At 49.5% G+C, this 24,975-nt stretch overlaps 1 long non-coding RNA gene and 1 pseudogene across 2 annotated transcripts, besides 4 other annotated features; one reads left to right on the top strand and one right to left on the bottom strand.

Moving 5' to 3' along the window:
• Window positions 1,719-2,218: an enhancer, noted in NCBI's record as "H3K4me1 hESC enhancer chr2:133043787-133044286 (GRCh37/hg19 assembly coordinates)". NCBI's record gives its function as "activates a minimal SCP1, AML or CMV promoter by ChIP-STARR-seq in primed H9 embryonic stem cells {active_cell/tissue: H9 hESC(primed)}" and the evidence as "EXISTENCE:reporter gene assay evidence [ECO:0000049][PMID:30033119]".
• RNA28SP (RNA, 28S ribosomal pseudogene) lies at window positions 6,725-8,998 on the top strand (annotated as a pseudogene).
• Window positions 11,533-19,811, bottom strand: LOC105373622 (uncharacterized). Of its 2 annotated transcripts, none has more exons than XR_923341.3 (3): window positions 19,690-19,811; window positions 12,297-12,388; window positions 11,533-11,856 (listed from the first exon to the last, which is right to left on the bottom strand). It is a non-coding gene; the product is annotated as an uncharacterized LOC105373622 (long non-coding RNA). The 2 variants fall into 2 exon arrangements; XR_923342.2 differs by lacking the exon at window positions 11,533-11,856 and adding an exon at window positions 12,015-12,042.
• Window positions 17,277-18,218: an enhancer, noted in NCBI's record as "OCT4-H3K27ac hESC enhancer chr2:133027787-133028728 (GRCh37/hg19 assembly coordinates)". NCBI's record gives its function as "activates a minimal SCP1, AML or CMV promoter by ChIP-STARR-seq in primed H9 embryonic stem cells {active_cell/tissue: H9 hESC(primed)}" and the evidence as "EXISTENCE:reporter gene assay evidence [ECO:0000049][PMID:30033119]".
• Window positions 19,741-20,252: an enhancer, noted in NCBI's record as "NANOG-H3K27ac hESC enhancer chr2:133025753-133026264 (GRCh37/hg19 assembly coordinates)". NCBI's record gives its function as "activates a minimal SCP1, AML or CMV promoter by ChIP-STARR-seq in naive and primed H9 embryonic stem cells {active_cell/tissue: H9 hESC(naive and primed)}" and the evidence as "EXISTENCE:reporter gene assay evidence [ECO:0000049][PMID:30033119]".
• Window positions 20,253-20,765: an enhancer, noted in NCBI's record as "NANOG-H3K27ac hESC enhancer chr2:133025240-133025752 (GRCh37/hg19 assembly coordinates)". NCBI's record gives its function as "activates a minimal SCP1, AML or CMV promoter by ChIP-STARR-seq in naive and primed H9 embryonic stem cells {active_cell/tissue: H9 hESC(naive and primed)}" and the evidence as "EXISTENCE:reporter gene assay evidence [ECO:0000049][PMID:30033119]".

The raw sequence follows: 24,975 nt of genomic DNA, 5'->3' as shown, positions 1-24,975 counted from the left end.
TAGAGTCACCACGTTCATCAATAATATACCACATGTTCTTACTGCCATCACCCAGCAGCTCACCCCCAGCTCTCGGGGAGTCTCCCGTGTCTCCCAGCTACTCTCCAAAAAACTCCAGATTTCATCTGGAGTCAGCCCCCAACACCCAGGAATCACCTACAAACTCACGAGCCTCACGGTGCTCCTCGCCTATGTCTTTCCTCTCTTCACCCCCAGCCGTCATGGACTCTCCTGTGTCTCCCAGTTACTCTCCAACCATCCCCAGGTTTCTGCGGGAGTCAGCCCCATGTACCTATGAGTCTCCCAGAGACTCACAGGTCTCGGGAGATTATGAGCGGTCCCTCAGCCCTGACTCCTCAAGATTCATGCCTGCCTCACCCAGCTTCTCCCTCTCCCCTCCCAGAAATTCAGACCCAAGGGGCAGCTCCTCACCAGGGATGTGGAAGTACTCTACATCATCCCGCAGGACTTCACCACTCTCACATCCCTCATCAACAGAATTTCACAACTTTACATTTCCCTTTCCTAACCAAGCAGGACAATCACTCATGTCATTATGCTCTCCCTTGTCCTCCTCTGGAGATTCTTCACAGTCACCTCATTCATCAATAATATATCATGTGTTCTTACTGCCATCATCCAGCAGCTCACCCCCAGCCATCAATGACTCTCCTGTCTGTCCCAGCTACTCTCCAACTACGCCCAGATTTCAGCGGGAGTCGGTCTCCCACACCCCAGAAACACCTACAAACTCACAGACCTCAGTGAGATCCTGGCCAGTCTCTCTCACGTCCTCACCCCCAGCCCTTACGGACCCTCCTGTCTGTCCCAGCTACTCTCCAAACATGCCCACATTTCAGCGGGAGTCAGTTCCAGGAACCAAGGGATCACCACCAAGCTCACCACTTTCACTGAATTACTCCTCAGTCTCTAGCACGCCTTTATCCCCAACCCTCAGGGACTCTCCTGTCTGTCCCAGCTACTCTCCAACCACGCCCGCGTTTCAGCGGGAGTCAGTTGCAGGCACCCAGAAATCACCACCGAACTCACCAATTTCACTGCGTTACTCCCCAGTCTCTCTCATGTCTTCACCAGCCCTCATGGACTCTCCTGTCTGTCCCAGCTACTCTCCAACCACGCCCAGATTTCAGCTGGTGTCAGTTCCAGGCACCCAGAAATCACCACCAAACTCACCAATTCCACTCAATTACTCTCCAGTCTCTGTCATGTCTTCACCATCCCTCAGGGACTCTCCTGTCTGTCCCAGCTACTCTCCAACCATGCCCAGATTTCAGCGGGAGTCAGTTCCAGGCACCCCGGAGTCACCATCAAACTCACCAGTTTCACTGAGTTACTCCCCAGTCTCTCTCACGTCTTCACCCCCAGCCCCCTGGGACTCTCCTGTCTGTCCCAGCTACTCTCCCGCCACGCCCAGATTTCAGCCGGAGTCAGCCTCCTACACTCCGGAATCACCTACAGACTCACAGACCTCACTGAGATCCTCCCTGGTCTCTCTCAGTTCTTTGCCCTCAGCCCACAGGGACTCTTGTGTCTCTTTCAGCTACTCTCAAAACTTCTCTAGATTCCAGCTGGAGTCAGTTCCAGGCACCCAGGGCACACCACCAAACTCACCAATTTCACTGACTTACTCCCCAGTCTCGCTCATGTTGTCACCCCCAGCCCTCAGGGACTCTTCTGTCTCTCTCACCTACTCTCCAACCATCTCCAGATTTCACCTGGGGTCAGCTTCCCACACCCAGGAATCACCTACAAACTCACGGACCTTACTGCACCCCTCCCCCATTTCTTTCACCTCTTCACCCCCAGCCTTCAGGGACTCTCCTGTGTCTCCCAGCTTCTCTCCAGCCTTCCCCAGATTTCTGCCGCAGTCAGCCCCAGGCACCCAGGAGAACCCTAGACACTCACAGGCCTCATGAGACTATCTCCCTATGACCTGTATCTATACAGGGATGGCTCCCACGTATCCCTCAGTGACCCCAAACCCATCTCCACTTACACTCAGACACTCCCAGGGCCTGACAGCTACTCCCCGTTATTGTCCTTCAGTTCGAAGCCCTGGCCAATCTACTAGCCAACATGACACAGTTACCTGGCCATTTCTCCACATTTCTGGTGAGGGCCCCACACCCAGCCGCAGAAGAGCCCCTCCTGCATTCCATCCTCACACACAGGCCTGTCCATCTACTTGCTACTGTCACACTGTTGCCAGCAGAAGAGGCCCCTGTAATGGCTGATATCACCACCCAGGCTATCCTCACCCCACAGCTGTGCAGCGGGACCCTCCTGCTGGCCCACATGGCTGCCAGAGCCCATGCTGACACGAACCTCCAGCATGTCAGCGTCCCTGCGGGTGACACTACCGGTGACATGGCTAGCATGCCCCTCCTCCCTGGCAGTGACACTGTTGATGTGAGCCCCAGTTTCAGATCTGTCATTTGTAAATAGGACCATTTTCCCTTTTCTCTCTCTCTTCCATTCACAGGGCTTTTCATTCTTTCTGTTTCTGCCTCCCTTTCAGATATTTACTCACCTTTTTCTCATTCACTATGTCTGCCGTGGTCTCGATGAGAGTGTGCCACGTAAGTTTCCCCCATTAAAAGTCATGAATTCAGTGGATTTTAGTATATTTGTGGTTGTGCATATTCAGTTTTAATTCGCAATCCATTTTAGAACATTTTATCACCCCCGACCAGAGAAAAACCCTGTAAACATTATTCACTCCTCATTCTGTCTCAAACCCTCTCCCTGACCCTCAGCCCTAGGTAACAACTACATAGAGCGATCAACCCCATATCCATAGATTTCCATATTGTGGACATTTCCTATAAACAGAATTGCACAGTATGTGAGACTTTATGACTGACTTTACACTTAGCACAATATTTTCAAGATTCATCCACATTATAGTCTTACCCACAGTGGGAAACCATTTTTTTTTTTTTTTGGTTTTAGTATCCACCGGGTGTTTTCTCCTTCCTTCCGTCCTTCCTTCCTTCCTTCCTTGCTTCCTATTTCTCTCTTACTCCTTCTGCCTTCTCCCATTCATATGCCTTAGGTGCATCCTACATTCTGTGAATTTTGGGGAAATCCTCGACAGTTGCAGGAAAATTGTGTTATTGTTATTATTTACCGCTATCTCTCTTTCTTGGTTCTCCATCAGTTGTAAACATCTATTGGTTTCTCCCAAGTCACTCAGTATATTTTAATTAGGTACACTTCTTTTTCTTTATACAGCTATTTCTGGAGTATACGGTCACATACTCATAAACCCAGTGTAACTCAAAAACGCATCTAATATCCCAATAAACCCATCATAAAGTTGAAAATCATAAATCAAACCATCATAAGTCACGGTTTGTCCGTGGATATCGGCTTCATCAATTCCATTGTATTCCATAATGCTGTATACCATTAACAATGGCAGACTGACAGGGAGTGGATATTGATAGCATTTTAAAAATCAGTTATCAGAGGGATACTTTAACTTGACTGAGTAACTGATCTAATTGTTTTAGCACAATGAATGATTATGGGAAATGTTTTGAGACAGAGTAGTTCATTTGTGAATGAAATTTTATGGCTTTTTTCACTTAGTAGGAACCTTTGTGTGTGGAAAACTGAGAAAATTGCTTTCTGCGGTAGAGTCTGGCATTCATTGTAGATTAAAGCTTATTTTTCTGTGAATAAATCTTATTCAATAAAATACTGTTCTTTAAAAAAAAAAAAAACACTGGTGATGTGAAGTCATTATCTTCAGCAAACTAATCCAGGAAAAGAAAACCAAACACCACATTCTCACTTATAATGGGAGCTGAAAAAGGAGATCACATGGACACAGGAAGGGGAATAACACACACTGGGGCCTTTCGGGAGGCAGAGCACTAAGAAAAACAGCTAATGCATGCTGGGCTTAATACCTAGGTGATGGGTTGACAGGTTCAGCAAACTACCGTGACACACGTTTACCTTTGTAACAAATCTGCACATCCTGCACATATACCCCAGAACTTAGAAACAAAAGGAAACAAAACAAAACGAAAAAACTATAACAAAACGCTAGTGGCAAAATAAAGTTTCAAACTGAGAAAGTGACAGACCAATTTTTTGTTCAAATCATGGTTCTCAACCCAGGTGCCATAAGGTCAGGATGAAGAATTTGATTACATATTGTAAATAAGACATACAGCAAATGACTGGAAAAATTATTCTCAACATATGTGTGTCTTCTAATTCAATGATGACGCTATCTACTGGGACATAGCATGAGATTCCAAAGGGCTCAGTCCCGCAAGACTGGCCTCCCACTCTAACAACAATGGGAAGCCCTACGTTATTTTACCTGTGCTTCTTAGCAACTGGCTATAAATCAGGTTTCCACCACTCCCAGTTTTAGTTGCATTAATTTGCTGGAAGAGCTCACGGCACTCAGGGAAAGACTTCCATTTACCATTTTATTATAGTGGATATTGCAAAAAATTCAGAAAAAAGATTTTGGGCCCACCATGTGGGGAGGGGAGCACTACCATCCAGGAAGTGTTATCCAGAAGCTCTCTAAACCCAGTCCTTTTGGGTTTTTATGGAGACCTCATTCTATAGGCATGATGGGTTAAACCATAGGCTATTGGTGATCAACTCAACCTGAGGCTCTCAACCCTCCCTGGAAATTGGGGTTGAGGATTTGCCATTCTCAGTCTGAGTAAAAGAATTTACACAAACTGAATTTTAAAACAGATTAGCATAACTGGAAACTTAATGAGATGATTGAATTATCTGGAGCCACACCTTGATATTCCTAACCCAAGCACCCTCATCCAACGAATGCTCCACCCAACTGGCTCCCAAGTCTCTATGTGGTTCCAGAGCAAAAAAAAGTTTATACAACGCATATCTCCACTTTTTCTTCAAAGTCTTTTCGCTTACACGGGTAATTCTTAAACTGCCATGCATCAGGGTCAGTGGGAGGGCTTGTTACAACACAAATCTGTGGATCTCCGGGGTTTGAGGGTTGCAAGGATGCTGCTGGTGTCAGAACCACAGCGTGAGAACCACAGAACCACTAGATGGTTTTCAGTGTTTCAGTGCATTTAATTCATAATGTATTTGGCCAAGAAAACTTGTAAATTCTTAGATTGTCCCAAATGTGGCACATGAAATCAAATCAGGAGAACAGTTTCCTACTAGGTGTAGCCTGGGAAAGTTGGGGGTGACTGATAGGAAGGAAGAGTGAAGCTCTGCCCTTTCCGCTGCTAGGCTGTGCCCGAGGCTATTTAAACCCACCCTGGCAGGGCTGTACTCAGATCTTCGCCCAGCGTAGCAGCGGCCGGAGCGTTTTGCGGGCTCTGCGTGGACTTGGAGCTTACAGCATCTTGTGACTTGGAAGTGGATTCAGAGGACAGGACAGAACACTTGGCTAAGTGAATCTGTGTCTGTCTGTCTGTCTCATTGGTTGGTTTATTTCCATTTTCTTAAGGAGCACATACCTCACACCACACACACACATACACACACATACACACAGACTCCTTCATTCTGCGGGTTAGAAAATTTGTAGGGGTCCCCGGGAGCTGCAGGTTTCCTAATCATGTCTGCACCTAAGAAAAGTAGGATCTTGTCTGGCTCTTCTTATGAATGGTCCCCTAGCCCGGACTCCCCAAGAGCCATGCTAGCTTCACCCAGCTTTTCCCTCTCCCCTCTCAGAAACTCAGACTTAAGAGGAAGCTCCTCACCAGGGATCCGGAGCTACCATTCACCATCCCCTAGGGCTTCACCACACTCACCTCTGTCATCAGCAGAATCCCACAAGCTCCCATTTCCCTTTCTTCACCGTGATGGGCAATCAGTGAAGCCATTGGGTTCTCCAGTGTCCTCCTCTGGGGATTCTTTAGAGTCACCACGTTCATCAATAATATACCACATGTTCTTACTGCCATCACCCAGCAGCTCACCCCCAGCTCTCGGGGAGTCTCCCGTGTCTCCCAGCTACTCTCCAAACAACCCCAGATTTCATCTGGCATCAGCCCCCCACACCCAGGAATCGCCTACAAACTCACGAGCCTTGTGGTGCTCCTCCCCTATGTCTTTCATCTCTTCCCCCCCAGGCCTCAGGGACTCTCCTGTGTCTCCCAGTTACTCTCCAGCCATCCAGAGGTTTCTGCGGGAGTCAGCCCCATGCACCCAGGAGTCCCCCAGAGACTCACAAGTCTCGGGAGAATATGAGCAGTCCCCCAGCCCTGACTCCTCAAGATTCATACCTGTCTCACCCAGCTTCTCCCTCTCCCCTCCCAGAAACTCAGACCCAAGAGGCAGCTCCTCACCAGGGATGTGGAAGTACTCTACATCATCCCGCAGGGCTTCACCACTCTCACATCCCTCATCAACAGAATTTCATAACTTTACATTTCCCTTTCCTAGCCAAGCAGGACAATCACTCATGTCATTGTGCTCTCCCGTGTCCTCCTCTGGAGATTCTTCACAGTCACCTCATTCATGAATAATATACCATATGTTCTTACTGCCATCATCCAGCAGCTCACCCCCAGCCATCAATGACTCTCCTGTCTGTCCCAGCTACTCTCCAACTATGCCCAGATTTCAGCGGGAGTCGGTCTCTCACACCCCAGAAACACCTACAAACTCACAGACCTCAGTGAGACCCTCACCAGTCTCTCTCACCTCTTCACCCCCACCACTTACGGACCCTCCTGTCTGTCCCAGCTACTCTCCAACTACACCCACATTTCAGCGGGAAGAGGTCTTGGGGCCGAAACGATCTCAGTCTATTCTGTAACTTTAAATGGGTAAGAAGCCTGGCTGGCTGACGTGGAGCCAGGCGTGGAATGCGAGTGCTTCGTAGGCTACTTTTGGTAAGCAGAACTGGCACTGTGGGATGAACCAAATGCCGGGTTAAGATGCCCGATGCCAATGCTCATCAGACCTCAGAAAAGGTGTTGGTTGATATAGACAGCAGGATGGTGGCCATGGAAGTTGGAATCCGCTAAGGAGTGTAACAACTCAGCTGCCAAATCAACTACTCCTGAGAATGGATGGAGCTGGAGCGTTGGGCCCATACCCGGCCGTTGACAGCAGTTGAGAGTGGATGGGAGCGGCAGGGGCAGTACACCCGTGTGAGTGCAGTGGGGGTCCTCCCGTCCCCTCCTCCCCCCCCTCCCCTGCAGCCCCACGGAGTCTACGCCGGGAGGAGTAGGAGGGCCGCTGCGGTAAGCTTTGAAGCCTAGGGTATGGGCCCAGGTGGATAGGCCACAGGTGCAGATCTTGGTGGTAGTAGCAAATTTTCAAATGAGAACTTTGAAGGCCGAAGTGGAGAAGGGTTCCATGTGAACAGCAGTTGAACATGGGTCCCAGGTGAACAGCAGTTGAACATGGTTCATTTGGTCCTGAGAGATGGGTGAGTGCCATTCCGAAGGGATGGGTGATGTCCTCTGTTGCCCTCAGCTGATTGAAAGGGAGTTGGGTTCAGATCCCCGAATCCAGAATGGCGGAGATGGGCACCATGAGGCGTCCAGTGCGGTAATGTGACTGACCCTGGAGAAGCATGTGGGAGCCCTGGGGAGGGTTCTCTTTTTCTTTGTGAAGGGCAGGGCGCCCTGGAATGGGTTCGCCCCGAGAGAGGGGACTGTACCTTGGAAAGCATCGTGGTTCTGGTGGCATCTGGTGAGCTCTGGCTGGCCCTTGAAAATCCAGGGTAGACGGTGTAAGTCTCACGCAGGGCCATACCCATGTCTGCAGCAGGTCTCCGAGATGAGCAGACTCTGGCATGTTGGAACAATGTAGGTAAAGGAAGTCCTCAAGCCGGATCCATAACTTCGGGATAAGTATTGGCTGTAAGGGCTGGGTCGGTTGGGCTGGGTGCGTGCCGCCGCTCGACGAGGCCCCGCTGCCCCCCCCAAGCCCCAGGAATGCCTGTTGTGGCCCTCCCCTGCCCCAACCCGTGTGCTGCTCACTCCCTCCCCCGCCCCCTCTCTCTCTGTCCTCCCCCTCTATGGAGGTGGTGTGTGGGGGCGGAGGGGTGGCAGTGGCCATACAGCCCCAGTGGCAGGGCATGATCTCCCGTGAGGGGGTGCTGGTGGTGGTGGTGACTCTGGACACAAGCTGGGCCCTTCCCATGGATTGCCCCAGTTGTGGCCACCCATGGGGAGCCCAGTGGGTGCTGGTGTGTCCTGTCTCGCTCTGCGCTGTCATGCGTGTCAGCGTGGGCAGGGAGTGATTGGGTCAGTGGGTGGCAGGCGGGGTGGTTCATTCCCCCACCTCCCCCGCAGCCCCATCTGTCTCCTGTCCCCCCCTCCGTGGAGGTGGCGGGCCGCGGGCTGGTCCCCGCCACAGGGGCCACGGTTCCATGCAGCACCTCCGCCGGTGCTTAGCAGCCGACTTATAGAACTGTGTGCACCAGGGGAATCCAACTGTTTAAACAAAGCATCGCGAAGGCCCTCGGGGGGTGTTGCAAAGTGATTTCTGCCCAGTGCTCTGAATGTCAAAATGAAGAAATTCAATGAAGTATGGGTAAATGGCGGAAGTAACTATGGCTCTCTTAAGGTAGCCAAATGCCTCGTCATCTAACTAGTGACGTGCGTGAATGGATGAATGAGATTCCCACTGTCCCTACCTACTTACTATCCAGTGAAACCACAGCCAAGGGAATGGGGTTGGTGGAATCAGTGGGGAAAGAAGAACCTGTTGAGCTTGACTGTAGTCTGGCATGGTGAAGAGACATGAGAGGTGTAGAATAAGTGGGAGGTCCCCAGTGCCCCCCTATCCCCGTGAGGGGGTGGGGTGGGGTCCTGTGGGCTGCCCATGGAATACTACTACTCTGATCGTTTTTTCACTGACCTGGTGAGGCAGGGGGTGAGCCCCTAGGGGCCCTCCCTTCTGGCGCCAAGTGCCCAGCTGCACGCCGGCCGGGTGTTGACCCGTCCCGAGGACAGTGCCAGGTGGGGAGTTTGGGATAGTACACCTGTCAAACGGTAATGCAGGTGTCCTAAGGAGAGCTCAGGGAGGACAGAAACCTCTTGTGGAGCAGAAGGGCAAAAGCTCGCTTGATCGTGATTTTCAGTGCGAATACAGACTGAAAGCTGGGCTTTGACGATCATTCTGACGTTTTTAAGCAGGAGGTATCAGAAGTTACCACAGGGGATAACTGGTTCGTTGCGGCCAAGCATTCATAGGGATGTTTTTTGATCCTGTAATGTTGGTTCTTCCTATCATTGTGAAGTAGAATTCACCAAGCATTGGATTGTTCACCCACTAATAGGGCATGTGAGCTGGATTTAGATCGTAGTGAGACAGGTTAGTTTTACCCTCCGTGATGTGTGTTGTTGCAATGGTAATCCTGCTCAGCATGAGAGGAATGGCAAGTTCAGACATGTGCTTGGTTGAGGAGCCAATGGGGTGAAGCTACGGTCTGTTGGATTGTGACTGAACGCCTCTAAGTCAGAATCCTGCCCAGGCGGAAGGATACAGCAGCACCGTGGAGCCTTGGTTGGCCTTGGCTGGCCTTGGCTGGCCTTGGCTAGCCGGTTCCCCACCCCCGCTGGTGGGCTGCCTCACCCTTGGTGGGGTGTGCCCCACCATGTGCTAGGACTGGGTCCGGTGCAGAGTGCCCTTCCTCCTGGGAAGGGTGTGGCTGGAAAGGTGGCCTCCTTGCCCGTCATGCAACACACGTTCGTGGGGAACCTGGTGCTAAACCATTTGTAGACGACCTGCTTCTGGGTCAGAATTTGGCCACACATGGCCAACCTCCACTTGTGGCTGCTCCTCGGTCGGGCCTCTGGGGTCGACCAGCTGCTGCCTGAGGGTGTGAAACAGCTGGCAGCTAGCCATGTCCCAGGTCGACCGGCAGGCCCTCTGGACCGAGAGGTGTGCAGGGGTGCCTGTTGGGATGAGCCGGATCTGGAGCGTCCGCATCTCAGTCGGAACCTCCAGGGTCGATCAGCTGCTGCCAGCGAGCTCCGGACTTAGCCGGCGGCTTCCTGTGTCCCAGATTGACCAGCAGGCGGCCAGTGGCGGTCCCACTGGATGGTGCAGCGCACCCATGTGAGGGCACCTATCCCCGTTCACGCGCGGGTGGCCCTCACCAGCCTCAGCCTTTGGTGGAGCTGGGACCACGTGGAACTCCCTCTCCTACATTTTTTTCAGGCCCACTTTGTTTGCTTCCGCCGTACTTTTCAGAGGGAGTCACTGTTGCTGTCAGTCAGTAATACTTCCTCCTTTGGTTTTTTTGGTTTTGTCTTGTGTGTGTTTTTTTTTTTTCCTTTCTTTCTTTCCTTTTTCTGGGGATGGAGTCTCGCTCTGACGCCCAGGCTGAAGCTGGAGCTGGAGTGCAGTGGTGCCTTCTCTTCTCACTGCTGCCGCTGCCTCTGCCTCCAGGGTTCAAGCGAACAGCAATTTTTGTATTTTGAGTAAAGATGGAATTTCACCATATTGGCCAGGCTGGTCTCGAACTCTTGACCTTCCACCCGCCTCGGCCTCCCAAATAGTGCTGGGAGTAGTACAGGCGTGAGCCACCAAGCTCGGCCAATTCCTTTTTTTCTTCAATCTTATTTTCTGCACGCTGTTGTGTATAAACATACATTTATATATATATATACACACACACATACACACATACATACATACACACACATAAATATGTAGTGATAAAACTATATAGATATTTCCATAATTAATACTTGTTTATATTATAAATGTTAATTTTAATGTATGAATATGTATTAAATGAAAACCCATTTCATTTACATATACATGTGTATGTATATCCTTCCTTCCTTCCTTCCTTCCTTCTTTCATTTATTATTTTTTATTTTCGCTTATTTTCTTTCCTTTTTGGGCCTGCCTGGTCTTCTCACTCTGGGCCCTGGTGACAGCCTCCCAAGTAGCTGGGACTACAGGGATCTCTTAAGCCCGGGAGGCAGAGGCTAACGTGGGCTGTGATCGCGCACCTCCACTCCAGCTTACGTGAGGTGGGGTGAGGTGGGGTGAGGAGGAGTGGGGTGGGGTGGGGAGAAAACAATTGATTGTGATCTTAATTACCTTTTAGCTTTATTCATACCCTCTTATTTGCTTGTTTATTGTCATGGGTTATTCTATGTCATTGTCATGTTCATCATTTGCTTGCTTGCTTGCTTATTTCCTTCCTTCCTTCCTTCCTTCCTTCCTTCCTTCCTTCCTTCCTTCCTTCTTTCCTTCTTTCCTTCCTTACTGGCAGGGTCTTCCTCTGTCTCTGTCGCCCAGGATCACCCCAGCCTCAACGCTTTGGACCGACCAAGCAGTTGTCCTGCCTCTGATCTCTCCCATCCCCATTACTTGGGACTACAGGCATGCACCACAACACCGGTTGACTTTTATGTTGTTTCTCATGTTTTCCGTAGGTAGGTAGGTATGTAGGTATGTATGTATGTATATATGTGAGTGAGATGGGGTTCGGGGTTCTATCATCTTGCCCAGGCTGGTCTCTATCTCCTGTTCTCAAGCAATCCACCTGCCTGCCTCAGCCGCCCACACTGCTGCTATTACAGGCGTGAGACACTGCACCTGGCTCATTCTATATTTGCCTGCCTGCCTGCCTGTCTATCAATCATCTTGTTTTTAGTACGGATGCACTCTCGCTTTGTTTTCCATGCTCTGTCACACATAATCTATTTTTAAACTTCTATGATTATTATTATTGCAGGTGTCATCTCACATGTCGAGGTGATGTCAAACTTTAAGGCTCCAGCGATCCTCCCACATCGGCCTCCCAGAGTGCTGTGATGACACTCTTGGGCACAGTATGCTCTGGTCATATTTCTCATGTGTCGGTTCTTTCCGTTTTTAGTATAGGGACTGGAAAGGAAATTTTGAAACGCATCTCACCAATCTGCCTTTTCTTTCTTTCTTTCTTTCTTTTTTTTCTTTAGACGGAGTTTCACTCTTGACGCCCAGGGTGGAGTACAATGGCACGATCTCAGCTCACTGCAACCTCCGCCTCCCAGGTTCAAGTGATTCTCCAGCCTCAGCCTTCCCAAGTAGCTGGAATGACAACAATGTGCCATCATGCCTGGCTAATTTTTCTATTTTTAGTACAGATGGGGTTTCTCCATCTTGGTCAGGCTGGTCTTGAACTTCTGACCATTGGAGAATTTTAACTTTCTTGGTGGTTGTTTTTCTTTTTTTTTCTTTTCTTTTCTTTTTTTTCTTTCCTTCTCCTCCCCCCCACCCCCACCCCCAGCCTCCCAGGTCCTCCTCCTCCTCCTTTTTCATTTCCTTCAGCTGGGCTCTCTTACTTGTATTGCTCGGTTGCTCACGCTGGTCTCAAACTCCTGGCCTTGACACTTCTCCTGTCACATCCACTGTCTGGTTGTTGAAATGAGCATCTCTTGTAAAATGGAAAAGATGAAAAAAATAAAGAGAGAAAAAGCACGGAGTGAACGTTTCTCTTGCCGTCTCCCAGGGTGTACCTTGGACCCAAAAAGACAGCGGGAGCTTGGCTGAGTGGGTTTTCAGGGCTAAATCCTCCTGAGGGCCTCCTTCCCTCTCCCCCTTGTCCTCGCTTCTCCCCCAGCCAAGGCTCCCACCACGGCCATGGCATTTTCCATAGGAGAGGTATGGGAGAGGACTGACGCGGCTTCCAGATCTATATCCTTCCAGACGTCTCTGCCTCAGCGTCCCCCACTGGCCACCTGCCACCTTTCAGGGAGCTCTGAGGCGGAAGCCCCCATCACGTCCCGCTACCCTCCCACAGCTGGCCTTTGCCAGGCAACGGCAGGGGAAGCGCGTTGACGCTGCTTTCGAATCCTCCGGCAAAGACTTCCACCAGATGCCCCGCGTGGGCCGGATGGGATGAGACTGGACCACCCCGGACCGTGCTGTTCTTGGGGGTGGGTTGAGGTACAGGGTGAGCTGGCAGCCCCAGCATTGTAAAGGGTGCGCAGGTATGGAAATGTCACATAGGATGCCCTCCTTCCCATCAGGCTGACTTCAGCTTCCTCAGGCCTGAAGACAACTTCACATCAGAACCTCTTTTCTTCCCTTTCTCCACCACACACATGAGACGCATGAGAGGGAGAAACAGCTCAATAGATACTGCTGACCTTCATTTGTGGAATCCTCAGTCATCTACAGACAGACAGGTGACTAGACAAGGACCCAAATCAAACACCATTTCCAGGTCCTCATGGTGGGATTGGTCTCTCTCTCTCTCTCTCCTACACACACACACACACACACACACACACACACACACACACACACAATTTCCACATCTAGTTCACAAACCACACTCACTCACTCTTTTCACAGTACGCAGGCTGAGTAAAACCCACCCCACCCTCCACCCGTCGGCTGACGAAACCCCTTCTCTACAATTTATTAAAAAGATTATCTGGGCTGGGCACTGTAGCTCATGCCTGTCATTCCAGCACTTTGGGAGGCCGAGGCGGGTGGATCACTTGAGGCCAGGAGTTCAAGACCAGGCTGGCCAACATGGCAAAACCCCGTCTCTCTGAAAAATAAAACAATTAGCCAGGCCTGGTGGCGTGGGCTTGTAATCCCAACTGCTCAGGAGACTGGGATGGGCGAGTTGCTCCAACCAGGGAGGCTGAGGTTGCAATGAGCTGAGATCATGCCAGGGCAATCCAGCCTGGATGACAGAGCGAGACCCTGTCCCAATAGAATCTTAATATCATTATAAGATGAGTTGCGTGTGGTGATGGCCGCCTGTAGTCACAGCTACTCGGGAGGTTGAGATAAGGAGAAGATCACTTGTGGTCCCACAGGTCGAGGCTTCAGTAAGCCGTGACCCACTGTATCCTGGGCCATCACCAGTCAAGGAGATATGCCCCCTCCCCGTTTTCTTTTTTTCTCTTCCCTTCTCTTTTCTTTTTTTTTCTTCTCTTTTCTTCTTTCTTTCTTTCTTTCTTTGTTTTTCTTCTTTCTTTCTCTCTTTCTTCTTTCTTTCTTTCTTTCTTTCTTTCTTTCTTTCTTTCTTTCTTTCCTTCTTTCCTTCTTTCCTTCTTTCTTCTTTCCTGCCTTACTGCCGTTCTGCTTTTCTTCTTTCCTCACTTCCTCCCTTCCTTCTTTCCTCCTGCCTTGGCCTGCCAAATTGCTGGGATGACTGGCGTGAGGCACCGTGCCTGCTTGGCCTAAAGAGACACCCTTTGAAAGTAAGACACAGAGAGCGACTTCCAGTGATCTGATTGACTGATTTAGACACAACATCTCACTCTGTCACCCCGGCAGTGGTGCCATCGTAACTCACTCACTGCAGCGTGGACGTTCCTGGACTCCAGGGATCCTTCCACCTCAGCCTCCAGAGTACAGTACCTGGAACAACAGGCATGCGCCACTGTGCCCAGACCATTTTTATTTTATTTTATTTTCCTGAGACAGAGTTTCTCTCTCGTTGCCTAGACTGCAGTGCAGTGGCGCGATCTTGGCTCACCGCAACCTCAGCCTCCCGGGTTCAAGCGATTCTCCTGCATCAGCCTCCCGAGTAGCTGGGATTGCAGGCATGCGCCACCACGTCTGGCTGATTTTGTATTTTTAGTGGAGACCGGGCTTCTCCATGTTGGTCAGGCTGGTCTCTAACTCCCGACCTCAGATGATTCGCCCTCCCCGGCCTCCCGAAGTGCTGGGATGGCAGGCGTGAGCCACTGCGCCCGGCCTTCATTTTTAAATGTTTTTCCACAGACAGGGTCTCATCATTTTGTTGCAACCCTCCTGACCCGGCGTCTCAAAGTGCTGGCGTGACGGGCGTGAGCCACTACGCCTGGACTCCAGAGAATGATTCACGACCACTACCGCTGTACTGATTCGTTCTTTCTTATTTATTGATGAATTATTTTCTTATTTATATTTGTTTATTTATTTTCAGACCGAGTCTTGCTCTGGGCGAGGCGAGGAGGGGCGTCGCTTTGGAAGCCACGGCACCGCCTTGTAAAGCCCCATTCATAAGCACAAAGCCCTATTCCCTTCCTGGAGTTGGAGCTGATGCCTTCCATAGCCTTGGGCTTCTCTCCATTCAGAAGCTTTGACAGGGGCAACCCCACCCAGAGGCTGGCTGAGGCTGAGGATTACGGGGTGTGATGGGGCTGGAAAGTGGGTCCCCTATTTTTGATAGCTCAGCCAAGACATCCCCCGACCCCCATCGCTTGCTCACCCTTTGAGATCCCCCGCCTCCACCGCCTTGGAGGCTCACCTGTTACTTTAATTTCTGTCTTTCTCCCTTTCTTGCGTTTGAGGAGGGGGTGCAGGAATGAGGGTGTGTGTGGGAAGGGGGTGAGGGGTGGGGACGGAGGGGAGCGTCCTAAGGGTCGATTTAGTGTCATGCCTCTTTCACCGCCACTACCGAAGATGAAAGCAACAATCAGCTAAATACCGCGTGTTCTCATCTACAAGTGGGAACTTATAGATGAGAGTTCTTGCATGGGCAGAACGAGGGGGACCAGAGACGCGGGAGCCTACTTGAGGGAGGAGTGGAAGGAGAGACAGCTTCAGGGAAAAACAAAACACGAAAACTGTCGGACACAGCGCTGAGTATCCGCGTGATGAAATCATCTGCACACTGAACCCCCCCGTCAGAAGTTTACTTATGTAACAATCTTGCACATGTATGCTTGGACAAGAAATAAAAGTTGGGGGGAGGGGGGGAGGAGGGGAGAGAGAGAGAGAGAAGTAAAATGAAACACCACCTCCTTGACCTGAGTCAGGGGGTTTCTGGCCTTTCGGGGGAAAGTTCAGCGACAATGCAATATTTGGGTCTGTTTTGTTTTTTTTTTTCTTCTTTTCTTTTTTTTGGACTGAGTCTCTCTCGCTCTGTCACCCAGGCTGCAGTGCAGTGGCGCTCTCTCGACTCACTGAAACCACTGCTTCCTGGGTTCCAGTGATTCTTCTTCAGTAGCTGGGATTACGGGCGCACACCACCACAGCCGGCTAATATTTCTATTTTTAGTAGAGACGGGGTTTCTCCATGTTGGCCACACTGGTATCATACCCTTGACCTCAAGTGACCCGCCCTCCTGGGCCTCCCAAAGTGCTGGGACGACAGGCCTGAACCACCGGGATTTCAGCCTTTAAAAGCACGGGCCCTGCCACCTTTCCCTGTGGCCCTTACACTCAGAATGACGTGTCCTCCCTGCCATAGGTTGACTCCTTGAGTCCCCTATGCCATTGCACTCTAGCCTGGGCAGCAAGAGCGAAACTCCGTCCCCCCACCTTCCCGCGCAAAAAATAAATAAATAAATAAATAAAATCTCTAGGTGTGTTCCCAAGAGTGATGTCTAAGAAATGGCACTGTACACTGAACGCAGTGGCTCACGTCTGTCATCCCGAGGTCAGGAGTTGGAGACCAGCCTCGCCAACATTGTGAAACCCTGTCTCTACTGAAAATACGAAACTGAGTCAGGCACGGTGGGGCAGGCACCTGAAATCCCAGCTACATGGGAGGCTGTGGCAGAAGAATCGCTTGAACTTGGCAGGCGGAGGTTGCAGTGACCCAAGGTTGCGCCACTGCACTACAGCCTGGGCGACAGAGCGAGACTCAGTCTCCAAATAAATAAATAAATAAATAAATGAAAGAAAGAAAAAAAGAAAAGAAAAGAAAGAGAAAATAAAAGAAAAGGCACTGTATCGCTACTGGGCTAGGACCTTCTCTCTTTCTATCTGTTTCTCTCTGTCTCTCTCTGTTCGTCTCTGTCTTTCTCTCTGTGTCTCTTTCTCTGTCTGTCTGTCTCTTTCTTTCTCTCTGTCTCTGTCTCTCTGTCTCTCTGTCTCTCTCTCTCTCTGCCTCTCTCACTGTGTCTGTCTTCTGCCTTACTCACTTTCTCTGCCCGTCTGTCTCTCTCTCTCCCTCGCTGTCTGTTTCTCTGTGTCTCTCTCTGTCTCTGTTTTTCTCTGTCTGTCTCTTTCTCTGTCTGTCTGCTTCTCTCTTTATTTCTCTGTGTCTCTGTCTGTCTCTCTCTCTCTGTCTCTTGCTCTCTGTGCCTATCTTCTGTCTTACTTTCTCTGCCTGTCTCTGTCTCTCCCTCCCTTTCTGTTTCTCTCTCTCTCTCTCTCACTTTCTCTCTGTCTGTTTCTCTCTGTCTCTCTCTCTTTCTGTTTCTCAGTGTCTCTCTCTGTCCATCCCTGTCTTTCTCTGTCTCTTTCTGTCTCTGTCTCTCTGTCTCTCTGCCTGTCTCTCTCACTATGTCTGTCTTCTGTCTTACTCTCCTCTGCCTGTCCATCTGTCTGTCTCTCTCTCTCCCTCCCTTTCTGTTTCTCTCTGTTTCTCTGTTTCCTGTTTCTCTCTGTTTCTCTGTTTCCTGTTTCTCTCTCTCTCTGTCTGTCTCTCTCTGTCTCTTTGTCTGTCTGTCTCTCTCTCTCTCTCTGCCTGTCTCACTGTGTCTGACTTCTGTCTTTCTCTCTCTCTCTGCCTGTCTCACTGTGTCTGTCTTCTGTCTTACTCTCTTTCTCTGCCCATCTGTCTGTCTCTCTCTGTCTGTTTCTCTCTGTCTCTCTCTGTCCATCTCTGTTTTTCTCTGTCTGTGTCTTTCTCTGTCTGCCTCTCTCTTTCTTTTTCTGTGTCTCTCTGTCTGTCTCTCTCTCTCTCTCTGTGCCTATCTTCTGTCTTACTCTCTTTCTCTGCCTGTCTGTCTGTCTCTCTTTCTCTGTCTGTCTCCCTCCCTCCCTCTCTGTTTCTCTCTGTCTGTCTCTCTCTCTTTCTGTTTCTGTCTGTCTCTCTTTGTCCATCTCTGTCTTTCTCTCTCTGTCTCTTTCTCTGTCCCTCCCTTTCTTTCTCTGTCTGTCTCTCTGTCTCTGTCTCTCTCACTGTGTCTGTCTTCTGTCTTACTCTCTTTCTCTGCCTATCTGTCAGTCTCTCTCTCTCTGTCTGTCTGTCCCCCTCCCTTTCTGTTTCTCTCTCTGTCTCTCTTTCTCTTTGTCTCTCTCTGTCCGTCTCTTTCTCTCTCTTTGTCTTTCTCTCTGTCTCTGTCTCTCTCTCTCTGCCTGTCTCTCTCACTGTGTCTCTCTTCTGTGTTACTCTCTTTCTTTGTTTATCTGTCTCTCTCTCCCTCCCTGCCTTTCTGTTTCTCTCTCTCTGTCTCTCTCAATTTCTGTCTGTTTCTCTCTGTCTCTCTCTATCTCTGTTTCTCTCTGTCTCTCTCTGTCTGTCTCTGTCTTCCTCTGTCTGTCTGTCTCTCTCTTTCTTTTTCTGTGGCACGATCTCGGCTCACTGCAACCTCCACCTCCCAGATTCATGCCATTCTCCTGCCTCAGCCTCCCGAGTAGCTGGGACTACAGGCACCCGCCACCACACCTGGCTATATTTTTTGTATTTTTAGTATAGACGGGGTTTCACCGTGTTAGCCAGGATGGTCTTGATCTCCTGACCTCGTGATCCACCCACCTCGGCCTCCCAAAGTGCTGGGATGACAAGCATGAGCCATCGTGCCCGGCTTGTCTCTTTCTTTTTCTCTATCTGTCTGTCTCTCTCTCTGTGCCTGTCTCTCTGTCTGTGCCTATCTTCTGTCTTACTCTCTTTCTCTGCCTGTCTGTCTGTCTCCCATTCTCTGTCTGTCTCCCTCTCTCTGTCTGTCTCCCTCCCTCCCTGTCTGTCTGCTTCTCTCTGTCTCTGTCTCTCTCTCTTTCTGTTTCTGTCTGTCTCTCTCTCTCCATCTCTGCTTTCTCTCTCTGTCTCTTTCTCTGTCTGTCTCTCCCTCTGTCTCTCTCTGCCTGTCTCTCTCACTGTATCTGTCTTCTGTCTTACTCTCTTTCTCTGCCTATCTGTCTGTCAGTCTCTCTGTCTCTGTCTCTCTCCCTCCCTTTCTGTTTCTCTCTCTCTCTCTTTCTGTTTCTGTCTCTCTCTGTCCGTCTCTTTCTCTCTCTTTCTTTGTCTTTGTCTCTGTCTCTCTCTCTCTCTGCCTGTCTCTCTCACTGTGTCTTCTGTCTTACTCTTTTTCTCTGCCTTTCTGTCTCTCTCCCTCCATGTCTCTCTCTCTCTCACTCACTCTCCATCTCTCTCTCTTTCTGTCTGTTTCTCTCTATCTCTCTCTGTCCGTCTCTGTCTTTCTATGTCTGTCTCTTTCTGTGTCAGTCTGTCAGACACCTCATGACGGGGAGGGCTCTGCCCCTTCCACGAAAGTGAGAAGTGCATGCTTAGGTGCTTAGAGAGGCTGAGAAGAATCTAGACAGACGGGCCTTGCTGGGCTTCCCCACTCGGTGTATGATTTCGGGAGGTCGAGGCCGGGTCCCCACTTGGATGCAAGGGGCATTTTCAGACTTTTCTGTCTGTCACGTGTGGCGTCTGTACTTCTCATATTTCCCTGATAAGTTCCTCAACTTAAAAGTAAACGGTTAAGGCCGGGCGTGGTGGCTCACATCTGTCATCCCAGCACTTTGGGACGCCGAGGCGGGTGGATCACCTGAGGTTGGGAGTTCGAGACCAACCTTGCCAACACAGCGAAACCCCGTCTCTACTAAAAATACAAAACTGAGTCAGGAGCGGTGGGGCAGGTGCCTGTAATGCCAGCTACTTGGGAGGCTGAGGCTGGAGAATCGCTTGAACCTGGGAGGCGGAGGCTGCAGTGAGCTGAGATCGCACCACTGCACTACAGCCCAGGCTGTAGAGTGAGTGAGACTCTGTCTATAAATAAATACATACATACATACATACATACATACATACATACATACATACATACATACATTCTTTTCCGTGCTGACTGACATTTGCAGGCATCGGTTGTCTTCGGGCATCACCTAGCGGCCACTGTTATTGAAAGTCGAGGTGACACAGAGGGAGGTCTCCCAGACTTCACCGAACCTGGGGCAACCGGTTTCTCTCTCTCCCTTCTGGAGGCCCCTCCCTCTCTCCCTCGTTGCCTAGGGAACCTCTGCCCTGGCTGGGGCCCTATTGTTCTTTGATCAGAGCTTTAGTTTTCTTTGTGTGTTGGTTTCTTTCGTGTGCATAGACTCTTCTACTTGGGATTTAGGAGGGGTCAGTTTAATTTTCAAGTCGCCCCTCGGCTCCCCCCACTACCCACGTCCCTTTACCTTCATTTAGTGAGTCAGTTAGGTGGGTTCCCCCCAAACCCCCACCCCCCGCCTCCCAACACCCTGCTTGGAAACCTTCCGGAGCCACCCCGGTGTGCCTCCGTCTTCTCTCCCCTTCCCCCACCCCTTGCCGGCGATCTCATTCTTGCCAGGCTGACATTTGCATCGGTGGGCGTCAGGCCTCACTCAGTGGTCACCGTTTTTGAAGATGGGGGTGGCACGGTCCCACTTCCCCAGAGGCAGCTTGGGCCGATGGCATAGCCCTTGACCCGCGTGGGCAAGCGGGCGGGTCTGCAGTTGTGGGTTTCTTCCCCCGCTTCCCTCCTCAGGCCTCCCTCCCTAGGAAAGCTTCACTCTGGCTGGGTCTCAATCACCTTTTATCATGATGTTTTAGTTTCTCCTCCCTCCGGCCAACATAGTTTCACAATGGGAAGGGCGTCACAGCTCTAATCTGGGCCTTCTTAGCATTTGCCCAAAATAGAAACGGTTTCTGAAAACTAATACTTTGCTCACTTAAGATTTCCAGGGACGGTGCATTGGCCCGTGTTCGTTGGCTTGTTTTGTTTTGTTCGTGTTTTTCCTTTTTCGTATGTATTTCTTTTCAGGTGAAGTAGAAATCCGCAATTTTCAGGAAGACGTATATTTTCCCCAAGACACATTAGCTGCTGTTTTCTCCTGTTAACTAGAGCTTTTGTGAATCTCTCAACGTGTAGTGAGAGCCCGTTGATGTTTACTAGACTTCAGAACATCTTATGTTCTAGAAACCCGTAAGCGAATGCTGCTGCTGCTCTTGTTGCTGTTGTTGTTGTTTTCAAAGCACACCTCGGCCACCGTTTACGGGATCAAAAGCGTTATAAAATATGTGTAATTATTTCCTGAGCACGCCCTTCCTGCTCCTCTCTCTGTCTCTCTGTCTGTCTCTGTCTCTCTCTTTCTCTGTTTTCTCTCTCACTCTCTCTGTCTCTCTCTCTCTGCCTATTTCTCTCTCTCTCTGCCTGTCTTTCTCACTGTGTGTGTCTTCTGTCTTACTCCCTTTCTCTGCCTGCCTGTCTCTCTCTCTATGCCTGTCTGTCTCTCTCTCTCTCTCCCTGTTTGTCTGTCTGTTTCTGTCTGTCTCTGTCTCTGTCTCTCTCTCTGTTTCTCGCTGTCCCTCTCTCTGTTTCTCTCTGTCCATCTCTCTCTGTCTCTTTCTTTCTCTCTGTCTCTCTCTCTCTGTGTCTCTCTCTCTCTCTGCCTGTCTCACTGTGTCTGTCTTCTGTCTTTCTCTGCCTGCCTGTCTCTCTCTTTCTCTCTCTGTCTCTCTCTCTTTGTTTCTCTCTGTCCGTCTCTGTCTTTCTCTGTCTCTTTGTCTGTCTGTCTGTATCTCTCTTTCTTTCTCTGTCTCGCTGTCTCTGTCTATCTCTCTCTCTGTCTCTCTCACAGTGTCTGTCTTCTGTCTTATTCTCTTTCTCTGCCTGTCTGTCTGTCTGTCGGCCTCTCTCTCTCTCTCTCCCTGTCTGTCTGTCTGTCTCTCCCTGTTTTTTTCTCTCTCTCTTTGCCTGTGTGTTTCTCTGTCTCTGTCTCTCTGTCTCTCTCTCTCTCTGCCTGTCTCTCTCTCTCTTTGTCTGTCTTCTGTCTTACTGTCTTTCTCTGCCTGTCTGTCTATCTCTCTCTCTCTCCTTGTCTGTTTCTCTCTCTGTCTCTGTCTGTCTCTCTCTTTCTGTCTGGTTCTCTCTCTCCCTCTGTCTGTCTCTTTCTCTGTCTCTTTCCCTCTGTCTGTCTCTTTCTTTCTCTCTGTCTCTCCATCTGTCTCTGTCTCTCTCTGTGTGTGTCTGCCATCTGTCTTACTCTCTTTCTCTGCCTGTCTGTCTGCCTGTCTGTCTGTCTCTCTCTGTCTGTCTCTCTCTCTCTCTTTCTGTTTCTCTCTGTCTCTGTCCATCTCTCTCTTTCTCTGTGTCTTTATCTGTCTGTCTGTCTCTCTCTTTCTGTCTTTCTCTCTTTGTGTATCTTTGTGTCTCTGTCTCTCTCTCTCTCGCTCGCTCTCTGGCTCTCGCTGTCTCCCACCCTCTCTTTCTTTGCAAAATAAGTTCAAGTGCATCTAATCTAATCCATTACCACAGCCTGAATTCTTAACTTTAGACATCCCAGATTTGATCTCCCTACCGAACGCTGTACAGAACTGGTGAGTCAATTTCTGGACTTGGATACCTCATAGATACTACATATTAATAAAGATCCAGCCCTAAAATCTGGGGTTGCATCTCCCTCGACTGTCTCAAAAAATCATACCTCTGTTCACCTAGGATGCTGGGAGGGTTTTCTCAATGTGCATCTGCTCGTGTCCTTCATGACCTGTGACCGAGCCCTGTCTGTTCTGTCTCAAATATGTATCTGCAAACACTTCTCTCCATTTCCACAACTACCCACGGCCCATTGTGGAACCACTGGCTCTTTGAAAAAAAATCCCAGAAGTGGCTTTGGCTTTTTGACTAGGAGGTCTAAACCTGCTGAGAACGTTTCTGCCCAGTATTCTGTGTGAACAAAAGTGCCTCTGCTGGGAGCTGGGATCCTCCAGACCATGCTTGCTAGCGCTGGATGAGTCTCTGGAAGGACGCGCGGGACTCCGCAAAGCTGACTTGTCCCACCGAGATCAAATGGATACCTCTGCATTGGCCAGAGGCCTCCAACTTACATCACTGTGACCATCACCGTCAGCATCCTTGTGAGCCTGCCCAAGGCCCCAACTCCGGGGAGACTCTTGGGAGCCCGGCCTTCCTCGGCTAAAGTCCAAAGGGATGGTGACTTCCACCCACAAGGTCCCCAGTGAACTGTGAAGATGTGGAGCATAGGTCAGAGAGGGGACCAGGAGGGGAGACGTCTTGACAGGCGATGAGTTCCCTAGGCTCTGGCCACCCCACTCACGTCCCACGTCCCGGACACCAGCAGGGCACCGCCGCTTTATCCCCTTCTCTGTCCATAGCCGCCCCCACCCCACCCCACCCCACCCCGAAACCCACGCACACACGCTGGAGGTTACAAAACCACACGGCGTGAATAGAGCCCGACGGAGCGAGAGCTCATTTCACGAGGCAGGGGGGTGGGTTCGGGTGGGGTGGGGATTGGGGGTCTGTAGAGAGCCCGATTCTCCCTCGTGGGTGGCTACAGGATACAAATGAATATCGCTTCTTGGGCGGAGGGGCTTCCTTAGGCCGTCACATTTGCGGGACTATCTTTCAAACCCTTCCTTGAGGCCACAAAATAGATTCCACCCCACCCCTCGACGTTTCCCCGGGTGCTGGATGTATCCTGTCAAGAGACCTGAGCCTGACACGTTGAGTTAAACACCTTAACATCTTTATTGGCTTTGTGTGTTTGTTTCTGAGAGGGAGTCTTGCTCTGTCCCTCGCCCTGGCTGGAGTGCAGTGGTGTGATCTCAGCTCACTGCAACCTCTACCTCCTGGGTTCGAGCGATTCTCCTGCCTCAGCGCCACCAAGCCTGGCTCATTTTTTTATTTTTAGTAGACACGGGGTTTGACCCTGTTTCATTGGTTTTCACTGGAGATTCTAGATTCGAGTCACACCTCATTGTGTGCCACATAATGACTTCTTTTTTTTTTCTTTTTTTTTTTTAAAGCACAATATATCTGCTTTATTTGAGTGGCTTTGTATATCGTTATAATTGTGTTATAGATGAAGAAAAGGTATTAAACACGGTGCTAATGATAGTGAAAGTGAAAACAAAGAAAGGCTATCTATTTTATAGTTAGAATAAAGTTGCTCAGTATTTAGAGTTACCGAAATACATCAGCATTTAAACTCCTCCTAGTAAAAGCTTGCTAATCTGAATAATCCTCCTTTAAACACAATTTTTGATATGGTTAAGGTTTTTAAGAATGTGACTCCTGCAGAATAGCTGAACAGACAATACACAATTGAAAAAGAACAACACAAGGATCAACCAGACTTGGGAAAAAATCAAAAACAACACAAGTCTTATGAAGAACTGAGTTCTTAAAATATTACGGATAACATAGCTATCAGAAGAGAAGGCAGTATTGGTAAGTTGATTGTTACATTTGTCAGCAGAAGCTAGCACTATTTTTTTGTCAATCTTTCAGGCACTGCAACTACTACTGCAAAATGAGATATAATCCATTGAACAACATATTCACAAATCAAAAAATGTTTTAGTAATATAATGCTTCAGATTTAGAAGCAAATCAAGGGTTAAAACTCAGCTGCTATAATAATTAAACCCAAAGATAACCGTATCTGACAAAAAAGCTTCCACAGAGTTATGACTTCAGAATTGTAGTTTCTCTTGATATTCATTTATTTATTTATTTTTTTCTTGAGACGGCGTCTTGCTCTGTCGCCCAGGCTGGAGTGCAATGGCGTAGTCTTGGCTCACTGCAACCTCCACTTCCCAGGTTCCAGCGATTCTCCTGCCTCAGTCTCCTGAGTAGCTGGGACTACAGGCACCCGCCACCATGCCCAGCTACTTTTTATACTTTTAATAGAGACGGGGTTTCACCATGTTGGCCAGGATGGTCTCGATCTCTTGACCTTGTGACCCGCCCGCCTCAGCCTCCCAAAGAGCTGGGATGACAGGCATGAGCCACCGTGCCTGGCCTTCTCTTGATATTTAAACGTTTAAGTCAGTCCAGAAAAATACAATACATGTCAACAGTAAGTATGGTGTTGAGGCGGAAGTAGGACCAAACATTTTCATATGTTATTCAGTTGATAACAATGTGACCTGGGTAGTAATTTCCTATGTGTCTACTTATACACAAGTACAAAAAAGTAAAACAGAGATACTGCTAAGTAAAAGGGTACACTAACTTCTTAATAGTAACTCAATAAACTAGAACACTGTCAAAAAGCAGCAACTAGTGAATTTTTTCAGTGTTTTTTTCTATTATCCAATAAGTGAATTATGCTATTCCTTTCCAATTT

Source organism: Homo sapiens, chromosome 2 (genome assembly GCF_000001405.40).
Source record: "Homo sapiens chromosome 2, GRCh38.p14 Primary Assembly".
NCBI classification, from domain to species: Eukaryota; Metazoa; Chordata; class Mammalia; order Primates; family Hominidae; genus Homo; species Homo sapiens.
This window is presented reverse-complemented; position numbering and strand designations above follow the sequence as displayed.